This window comes from Homo sapiens, chromosome 1 (genome assembly GCF_000001405.40).
Source record: "Homo sapiens chromosome 1, GRCh38.p14 Primary Assembly".
In the NCBI taxonomy this organism is placed as follows: domain Eukaryota; kingdom Metazoa; phylum Chordata; class Mammalia; order Primates; family Hominidae; genus Homo; species Homo sapiens.
In genome coordinates, this window is record NC_000001.11 from 218,434,474 (window position 1) to 218,445,403 (window position 10,930).

The window sequence follows — 10,930 nt, forward strand, 5'->3', positions numbered from 1 at the left end:
TGGGGGAGGGAAGGGTCTATATTGATAATCTCATGGGGGATAAAATCAGTTTGCATGTGAAAATGAGACTGGTAAGGCCTGGGGAGTTTCATTCATTTGGACAGTGATATGGTTGGATATACATATGTGAAGGGAGAAAGGATTGGAAGAACGGAATAGGTTCCCAGTTTATAATTCTCAATGCCCAGTGATGACTTGGTCAATAATAACTGATTAACTCATTAACCCTCCAGTAGTAAGTTAAGGCCTTTGTTCTTCATTGTAGCAAACCAACTTTCCATCTATACTGATATTATAGAGAAAGATAGAATGTGTTTAAGAAAATTCATTGATAATCCCCCAAACCAAATGTCAGGAACTGACAACCGTATTTCACAGAAGAAAGGAGTCTCCTCCTGCTACAGCTTCCATAACTAACCTTCCATGTATAAGAACATTCCACCTTTTCTAGTCCATACCCAGTATTTCAAGTGGGTTCCTTATCAGAATTTTATATTAGTTTATAAACACATAAAAATGTTTTGGCTTTCCCCACGCTTACCTTTAAGTAAGTTGGACAAAAGTCATGGAGAGTGAGGCGATACCAAGGGCTCAAGTCACTTCATGTATTAGATGATGAGTTGTTGGATGATGAGAGGTGAGAGGAAATCCATGCCTATGTGCCGATACAGCATCTGCCCACAATGCCAGGCCAGAGAATTGATTTCCCTGCCCTCCTAACATCACCCAGGACCTCCATCCACTTTTAGAAGACTACAGCAGCCCTTGCTCATGGAAAAATACTCCCAGAGGTCTAGAGATTTATTTCAGTCTCTAACCTAGTCATGATTCTCTGGAGTGTGGAGATTAAATGCTTAAACTGGCAGTCTCTTGAGCATGCTTTGGGGAGCTCAAGTTTCTAAATCTCAGATGGAATCAGGAAAGTGTTGAGGATGCCATAAAATAAATGAAAAAGCCCTTTCTTCACAGCTTCCCAAAATAGCATTAGGTAAGGGTGACTTCTGTTTCACTTGAACCTAATTCACTCCAATTCAGTTAAGTCTCAGTTTATGTTCATTAGGAAAGTCTTTTGAGTTTAGTAGTCTTAGGAAGAGTGTGAACCAGCGGGTGACAAGGCATGTTCTATTGCCATGTGTTCAGTTGTTGAGGGCTTGAACGCAGCCTAAACTGAGGATTGACTAAAATAAACTGCCTAGATTGCCCTTGGACTATAGGTCAAAGACTGCTTCTGTAGTGACTTTCATAACCAACAGCCCTGGCTTTGACACCGAACTGCCTTCTGACAAGAGCCCCATTTAGAAGTGTTAATTGTCACGTGGGTTAGTCGTAGTCCTGTTGTGCCATATCTATTTCCATGGGGAATAACTGTTGCCAGCTGATGCTGCTTTGGTGGTCATCACTGCTATTTGTGACAATATACAAAGGAAAAAAATATGGCTGACTATATTTGATGAAGGTGAAGCTAAATGTTTATTACCCAAATGCATTTTTTCAAGGTATTGATGGCACCTCCACATATACCAGTGGTGATCAGAAAACTATAAAGTCCACTAGGAAAAAAAACAGTGGGAAGACCCCACATCTCCTGCTAATGTTATTGCCCTCCTACAGACTTGAGTCACAACAGACCAACCGGCGGAAGAAGCGTGCTTTGGATGCGGCCTATTGCTTTAGGTAAAGGAAAGAAAAGTAAAACCAAGTAATTGCATCTGTTAACTCTTAAACTGCCTTTGCCCTTTCTTTTACTGTGTATTGACCCAAGTGGAACTCACTGCTAAGGCCAGATAGAGTGCAGTACAGCTCCTGTGTCTCATAATACCATTCTTCCCAGAGGCTTATATTCATCAGGTCTTTAGCAGTGAACCAAGTGTGAAGGGAGAAAACTAACCCCCTGAATTTTTTCCCCAAAATTCCTCTGAAGTTCTTTGGTGCTGAAGAAGAAAACAAGCTCTCTGCTCCTCAGAACAAATAAAAGCTTATTTGAGGTGTGTGATGTCAACTCCTTAATTAAGAAAGACCCACCATCTGGATGATGCCTTCATCCTCACCAAGTCCAAGTGCTGATAGTCACACTTCTTTCATAGTAACAGAGATGAGACAGCAGAAGAATGCCGTGTGTCACACCTTTAGCAACAGCATATGAGAGAAGCAAGAAGAATTTATTTCCCATTCCCACATGAGTGCATGGAGGGAGAATGTGAATGTTCTTATGTGGTCTCAGTAAGAGGAGGGCTCTTTCCTTATTTTGAGAGGTACAGGACAGGGAAGGGTCCTCACTGATGAAGTGCTCAAAATGTCAGAGGCCATGAGTAAAGTGGCACTTTTTGGTTGCCAGATCCAGTGGTTGCCCTCAGCAAGACTCCATGTTTCTTGATCTCTGGTTCATTCCTAGATCAGAGAACATGTGGTGAAACAAAGGATCAATTCTCAAAGGAAAACGCCTTAGATGGTTGTTTGAAAATTGCTGTTGTACTTCTTTCATTTTATATTTGAAAGGGCAATAGAGGCTGGATGGCAGAACTGCCCAGTGTTGATTGGAAAGGGCTTCATCATGCCCAGCCACTCTCTGCTTATATCTGGTCATCTGAAGGTAAATGTATGATTTTCCAGGTCACAGACAAGGAAGTCAGGGTATAGAACTCATAAGGGCAAGTAGTCCAGCAAATCACCACCACATACAACACCCTATCATGAAAGTCACTTGAGATTACAATAAAGCCATTAAAACCTGGCCCATGATATTTGCTCATTAGATGTTTGTTGAATAAATGAATGAATCATTTTTCTGGTTTGGGGTGAGGTGGTGGTAGAGTGAGGGTGGTGAATCAGCTTTAAAATCTCCATTGCTTTTTTTTTTTTTTTTTAACAGAAATGTGCAGGATAATTGCTGCCTACGTCCACTTTACATTGATTTCAAGAGGGATCTAGGGTGGAAATGGATACACGAACCCAAAGGGTACAATGCCAACTTCTGTGCTGGAGCATGCCCGTATTTATGGAGTTCAGACACTCAGCACAGCAGGGTGAGTGTTCAGCTTACCTGTTGCCTCTGTTCTTGGGTTACCATGTGCACCTGCTGATAGTATTTCCAAATGAGTTGTAATTAACCTCGTGCTGTCTTACCATCACACATGTATGGGTACTGGAGAAAAATCTTTCATTAGGTTGGTGCAAAAGTATTCGCAGTTTTTGCCATTGAAAATAATGGCAAGAAACTCCCCTAATAGATGAGGAGGAAGAATGTTAACTGTAGGTGAAATCAGAAAGTGACACTGATCGGTTACAAACCATAAGTCTCACCTGCCCAGTTATTAACAACTGGAGGGAAGTTTTGTTTACTTTTTTCTTTATTTTATATTCTTTTTCAAAAACAATTTTTATTGATACATAATTGCATATATTAATGAGGTACATGTGATATTTTGATACATGTATACAATGTGTAATGATGAAATCAGGGTAATTAGGATATCCATTGCCTCAAAAATTTATCATTTCCTCATTTGGGGAACATTCCAGATCATCTCTTCTAGTTACTTTAAAATAGACAATAAATTATTGTTAACTATAGTAACCCTACTGTGCTATAAAACATTAGAATTTATTCCTTCTATCTAACTGTATTTTCATACCTATTAATCAACTTCTCTTCACCCTTACCCTGTTCCCAGCCTCTGGTAACCATCATTCTACTCTCTGCCTCCATAAGTTTTATATTCTTAACAGCTATAAGCATAAATAGCCAAGAAAACACCCTTTTTAGAATCAATATGTCACATAGTATCATATATAGATAAAGTGTGAAGGGACCCAGGTCTCCATCTAAAAAAAAAATCTGCTATCATCTCCATCAGAGACTGTTATATTAGAAAGAACATTGGGGATTTCAGTTAATGCCTGGGAGTGTGTGATTATTAGTAAATACACTATCAATTTACTAATGTATGACAGAATGTAATTTAACATCTCTAAACCTCAGTTTCTTATCAGTAAGAAGGAATGTCTGTATTAAAAGTTATCTTTAAAATAATAATGCCAAACTCAAGAGTTGATATGAAGTACAAAAGATGATATACATGAAAATGACTTGAAAATTCGTTTCTCTACTTTTTTTTTAATGTAACACAAAGTAAATGAGAATCTGAGTATTTTATCAAGTTGTTTCAATGAAGACAGAGTTGATTCAGAAGGTAATTCCCAGATTGGATGGTATGAGTTTCCGGCAAGATTAGAGAAGAGTTTTTCTATGTAATAATGATATTTGTTCACATGCTTCCTCTTGATGGCTCATCAGGATTTTAGAGATAGAAAGGACATCTTATCCAACGCTTTCATTTTCTTAAAGAAATTGGGGACCGGGCGCAGTGACTCATGCCTGTATTTCCAGCACTTCGGGAGGCCGAGGCAGGTGGATCACGAGGTCAGGAGTTCAAGACCAGCCTGGTCAAGATGATGAAACCCCGTCTCTACTAAAAATACAAAAAAATTAACCAGGCATGGTGGCGGGTGCCTGCAATCCCAGCTACTCGGGAGGTTGAGGCAGAGAATCGCTTGAACCCAGGAGGCGGAGGTTGCAGTGAGCCGAGATCGCACCACTGCACTCCAGCCTGGGTGGCAGAGTGAGATCCTGTCTCAAAAAAAAAAAAAAAAAAAAGAAATTGGGGTCTAGATCATGTAGTCTAGATGATACCCAAAACCAAACAGAAAATTAGTGACAAACCAAGGCTTGGCATGCAGGCCTCCTTGTTTTATAACCAGGCCTCCATTTGCTCTATCTTAGTGGGTTTAATTCCTAAAATATGGTTACACGTTAGGGTTTCTATTCTGCTCTTTATGCCTCTGTAAATCTCCCTATTAAAGAAGCATTAGAAAAATTGCCTTCACTGCAGGGTAGGAAAATGGATCAGCTGCCAAAAAAGATCACATACTACATTCAGCTGAATTCATGAGTTTGGGGGTTATCAATTATTTTAGACAATCTGTATTATAAAAATTCCTCTTTAGTTCATATGAAAACTCATGTGTTCAGGGAGCATAAAGTATATTTATTTATAAATACCTACATATGCTGGAATTTAAATTGACAAATACGGCTCCTCTTCCTTCAGCTGTTTTCCCAACTCCCCTGTAGACTTTGGCACTCGGGGGCGACCGTGTGCTTGGCCATGTGAGGGAAGCTTGCTCATGCCTGTCCCTTTGTCTGAGCTCTCTGGCCAGGCTGCCTCCTCTGGGCTGCGGCAGCAGTAGCTGTAATGTGGGCAAGGCCCTGTTGCCAAGTAGAAACATAATTCTCCTCTCTGATACACAGAGGGAGTGTGTGAAGGCTGAGACCATGCTTGTTTTTCAAGGAGAGAGGAAGAATAACTGTCATGGTCACAAATATGTGGTTTGGACAGTTACCCAAGAAGCCAGAGGTAGCTTAATAAAGTAGTCAGTGTTGCTGTGCTGAACAGATCTTCTGTCTTAGGCTGAAAAAATTGCAGTGAATCTCGAGGAAAAGGTCACTTGCTGTTTGACTAACACATTAATGGCATCCTTGGAAATGTCTCTGTATCATCAGTGGGGAACCTACATACTTCCATTAGTAAAAGTCTCACACCCCTCTGATACAGAATGGGGTTGAAGGTGTAAGGCTAATTATAGAACCGTCTCTTCATTCTGTTTTCAGACTTGCCATTAACTCCTCCAACTCAGCAACTACCATTTACCGCATAGGTTAGTGGAGGGTTGATTATGATTGTGATTATGATTATGATCGTTTTAAGCAAAATGTAAGAAAGTGAATAATTATTTCTTATAGGAGATCTTAGAGATCACTTTTATGTCATTTCTAGCATCACTGTGTTTATGAAGCAATGGTAAAAAAACAGGCTTTTTTTTTTTTAATGAAAATTGAGGATACCTTAAATTGGCCTGAGGAGACACTTAACGTAGAAAGATTTCATTTCCTTCCTTCCTTATTTATTTATTTAAAGAAACAGGGTCTGGGTCTGTTGTCCAAGCTGGTCCTGAACTCCTACACTCAAGTGATCCTTCAAAGTGTTGGGATTACAGGCGTGAGCCACCGTGCCCAGCCTGTAGAAAGATTTCACATTGCATACAGGTGTCTTTTTCTATACCCAAAGGTAGATTAAAGCTCTTATGAGAGCTTTGATAAAACTTTTTATTCTTCTACTTATTCATGTATTCATTTCTTCACTTAGTACATGAATCTCATTTTGTCCAGAGAAGACTTACTAGGGCCACAAGATAAAAGCAAAGTCTGTAGAGTTCCTGATCTGGAGGGAGCTCTTAATCTAGATGGGATTGAAATGTATACTCAAGAAACAACTTCATTTACAGAGTAGTGTAGAAATAAGACCAAATGCTATAAGGATCAAGTTTTGTGGGGACCTAGGATGTATGTGCAGCCAAGCACTGATCAGAGGAAAGACTTACTGGAAAAACCGGGAAAATCTGTTGAATGAGCAATTTTTTCCAATCTGACTCTTACAGAATCATTTGCTTAAGATGTGTGGAAAACGAGTTCCGTGTGGGAAAATAATGACTTTGGTGATTGCTAAGGTCACATATCAGTTTGACTGTAATTTAGGAAATTAGCAACCAAAAATAATTTTAAATTGCCTACTCAGTGCTGTGACTGCTAACAATGTGGAATTCTTTTTAAAAACGAATTGCGTTCATTTTCCGTCTTTCCCTATGTTGTCTCTCCTCTCCTGTGTCCTTTCAGGTCCTGAGCTTATATAATACCATAAATCCAGAAGCATCTGCTTCTCCTTGCTGCGTGTCCCAAGATTTAGAACCTCTAACCATTCTCTACTACATTGGCAAAACACCCAAGATTGAACAGCTTTCTAATATGATTGTAAAGTCTTGCAAATGCAGCTAAAATTCTTGGAAAAGTGGCAAGACCAAAATGACAATGATGATGATAATGATGATGACGACGACAACGATGATGCTTGTAACAAGAAAACATAAGAGAGCCTTGGTTCATCAGTGTTAAAAAATTTTTGAAAAGGCGGTACTAGTTCAGACACTTTGGAAGTTTGTGTTCTGTTTGTTAAAACTGGCATCTGACACAAAAAAAGTTGAAGGCCTTATTCTACATTTCACCTACTTTGTAAGTGAGAGAGACAAGAAGCAAATTTTTTTTAAAGAAAAAAATAAACACTGGAAGAATTTATTAGTGTTAATTATGTGAACAACGACAACAACAACAACAACAACAAACAGGAAAATCCCATTAAGTGGAGTTGCTGTACGTACCGTTCCTATCCCGCGCCTCACTTGATTTTTCTGTATTGCTATGCAATAGGCACCCTTCCCATTCTTACTCTTAGAGTTAACAGTGAGTTATTTATTGTGTGTTACTATATAATGAACGTTTCATTGCCCTTGGAAAATAAAACAGGTGTATAAAGTGGAGACCAAATACTTTGCCAGAAACTCATGGATGGCTTAAGGAACTTGAACTCAAACGAGCCAGAAAAAAAGAGGTCATATTAATGGGATGAAAACCCAAGTGAGTTATTATATGACCGAGAAAGTCTGCATTAAGATAAAGACCCTGAAAACACATGTTATGTATCAGCTGCCTAAGGAAGCTTCTTGTAAGGTCCAAAAACTAAAAAGACTGTTAATAAAAGAAACTTTCAGTCAGAATAAGTCTGTAAGTTTTTTTTTTTCTTTTTAATTGTAAATGGTTCTTTGTCAGTTTAGTAAACCAGTGAAATGTTGAAATGTTTTGACATGTACTGGTCAAACTTCAGACCTTAAAATATTGCTGTATAGCTATGCTATAGGTTTTTTCCTTTGTTTTGGTATATGTAACCATACCTATATTATTAAAATAGATGGATATAGAAGCCAGCATAATTGAAAACACATCTGCAGATCTCTTTTGCAAACTATTAAATCAAAACATTAACTACTTTATGTGTAATGTGTAAATTTTTACCATATTTTTTATATTCTGTAATAATGTCAACTATGATTTAGATTGACTTAAATTTGGGCTCTTTTTAATGATCACTCACAAATGTATGTTTCTTTTAGCTGGCCAGTACTTTTGAGTAAAGCCCCTATAGTTTGACTTGCACTACAAATGCATTTTTTTTTTAATAACATTTGCCCTACTTGTGCTTTGTGTTTCTTTCATTATTATGACATAAGCTACCTGGGTCCACTTGTCTTTTCTTTTTTTTGTTTCACAGAAAAGATGGGTTCGAGTTCAGTGGTCTTCATCTTCCAAGCATCATTACTAACCAAGTCAGACGTTAACAAATTTTTATGTTAGGAAAAGGAGGAATGTTATAGATACATAGAAAATTGAAGTAAAATGTTTTCATTTTAGCAAGGATTTAGGGTTCTAACTAAAACTCAGAATCTTTATTGAGTTAAGAAAAGTTTCTCTACCTTGGTTTAATCAATATTTTTGTAAAATCCTATTGTTATTACAAAGAGGACACTTCATAGGAAACATCTTTTTCTTTAGTCAGGTTTTTAATATTCAGGGGGAAATTGAAAGATATATATTTTAGTCGATTTTTCAAAAGGGGAAAAAAGTCCAGGTCAGCATAAGTCATTTTGTGTATTTCACTGAAGTTATAAGGTTTTTATAAATGTTCTTTGAAGGGGAAAAGGCACAAGCCAATTTTTCCTATGATCAAAAAATTCTTTCTTTCCTCTGAGTGAGAGTTATCTATATCTGAGGCTAAAGTTTACCTTGCTTTAATAAATAATTTGCCACATCATTGCAGAAGAGGTATCCTCATGCTGGGGTTAATAGAATATGTCAGTTTATCACTTGTCGCTTATTTAGCTTTAAAATAAAAATTAATAGGCAAAGCAATGGAATATTTGCAGTTTCACCTAAAGAGCAGCATAAGGAGGCGGGAATCCAAAGTGAAGTTGTTTGATATGGTCTACTTCTTTTTTGGAATTTCCTGACCATTAATTAAAGAATTGGATTTGCAAGTTTGAAAACTGGAAAAGCAAGAGATGGGATGCCATAATAGTAAACAGCCCTTGTGTTGGATGTAACCCAATCCCAGATTTGAGTGTGTGTTGATTATTTTTTTGTCTTCCACTTTTCTATTATGTGTAAATCACTTTTATTTCTGCAGACATTTTCCTCTCAGATAGGATGACATTTTGTTTTGTATTATTTTGTCTTTCCTCATGAATGCACTGATAATATTTTAAATGCTCTATTTTAAGATCTCTTGAATCTGTTTTTTTTTTTTTTAATTTGGGGGTTCTGTAAGGTCTTTATTTCCCATAAGTAAATATTGCCATGGGAGGGGGGTGGAGGTGGCAAGGAAGGGGTGAAGTGCTAGTATGCAAGTGGGCAGCAATTATTTTTGTGTTAATCAGCAGTACAATTTGATCGTTGGCATGGTTAAAAAATGGAATATAAGATTAGCTGTTTTGTATTTTGATGACCAATTACGCTGTATTTTAACACGATGTATGTCTGTTTTTGTGGTGCTCTAGTGGTAAATAAATTATTTCGATGATATGTGGATGTCTTTTTCCTATCAGTACCATCATCGAGTCTAGAAAACACCTGTGATGCAATAAGACTATCTCAAGCTGGAAAAGTCATACCACCTTTCCGATTGCCCTCTGTGCTTTCTCCCTTAAGGACAGTCACTTCAGAAGTCATGCTTTAAAGCACAAGAGTCAGGCCATATCCATCAAGGATAGAAGAAATCCCTGTGCCGTCTTTTTATTCCCTTATTTATTGCTATTTGGTAATTGTTTGAGATTTAGTTTCCATCCAGCTTGACTGCCGACCAGAAAAAATGCAGAGAGATGTTTGCACCATGCTTTGGCTTTCTGGTTCTATGTTCTGCCAACGCCAGGGCCAAAAGAACTGGTCTAGACAGTATCCCCTGTAGCCCCATAACTTGGATAGTTGCTGAGCCAGCCAGATATAACAAGAGCCACGTGCTTTCTGGGGTTGGTTGTTTGGGATCAGCTACTTGCCTGTCAGTTTCACTGGTACCACTGCACCACAAACAAAAAAACCCACCCTATTTCCTCCAATTTTTTTGGCTGCTACCTACAAGACCAGACTCCTCAAACGAGTTGCCAATCTCTTAATAAATAGGATTAATAAAAAAAGTAATTGTGACTCAATCTGGTTGTCTTGCTTTGTCTAGTGAAAGAACTAGTGTGTGCCTGTTGTGTTGTCTAAACACCATCTAGAAACAAACCATCAATTCGAGTATTGAGATAGAAGAGAAAATGGTTCCCTTTTCTGCAGTCTCATCTGTGTTTGATCTTTCATAGTAAACTCATAGAGAGAGGAAGTTTGTCACTCTAAACCCATTAGTTCATGCTTCTGTGCAGCCTGGCTAGTCCCAGAGCTATCACCCCAACCCACATTATATTTAATTGATGAGTAAGAATAGAAGGTATTATAGAATCAGAGAGATGAAAAGAGCCACCTAACAGCCTTACCAACTTTGGCAAATTTGTCAGCAACTCTGGGCCTCTGTTTCTTTAAAATGAAGATGACAATCCCTGCTCTATAGCGTTTTGTCTGTGTGTTTTAGTGCCCTTGTTGTAGTTAAGTGAATAGACACGTGAAAAGGTACTTTGCTTAGTGTTTCTTCTGTAATTGGCAGAGTAAATGGCAGGCAGGCTTAACAATATTTCCAAGCCTGTTCTGTTTTTGGTTTCTTGGCAATCTTGTAATGAACTTTTAACCTCCAGACTATAACCTGGGCTCATATTTCTCCATCTTGATACTAAATGTATAAAACCTCCAGACCCTTATCTCATAAATTGATCAGGACATCAGTAATTCCTGAGAATATTCTATAACTCTATATGTTAACCTTTTGGTTACGGGACTGACAGAAGTTATTATAGGGAAAAAGTTCATTTTAAGCTTTACTGAAGTCCACCAATGAAAATT

The 10,930-nt window shown here is 38.0% G+C and overlaps 1 protein-coding gene and 1 long non-coding RNA gene across 5 annotated transcripts in view; both read left to right on the top strand.

Annotated features, from left to right (window-relative positions):
• The window catches only part of TGFB2 (transforming growth factor beta 2), a 99,284-nt gene extending 89,138 nt beyond the window's left edge, over positions 1 to 10,146 (top strand). For 2 of the 4 annotated variants that reach the window (NR_138149.2, NR_138148.2), the window contains 3 exons: positions 1,612 to 1,674; positions 2,870 to 3,023; positions 6,731 to 10,146. Coding sequence is in view for 2 of the 4 variants with exons in the window: in NM_001135599.4 (NP_001129071.1) it covers positions 1,497 to 1,674; positions 2,870 to 3,023; positions 6,731 to 6,889 (491 nt within the window). In the remaining 2 variants the exon portion in view is untranslated. Of the gene's footprint in view, positions 1 to 1,496; positions 1,675 to 2,869; positions 3,024 to 6,730 lie in introns of all 4 variants that reach the window. The other 2 variants (NM_001135599.4, NM_003238.6) reach the window with 1 other exon arrangement.
• On the top strand, positions 8,153 to 9,522 carry TGFB2-OT1 (TGFB2 overlapping transcript 1). The gene has a single exon (NR_125715.1). It is a non-coding gene; the product is annotated as a TGFB2 overlapping transcript 1 (long non-coding RNA).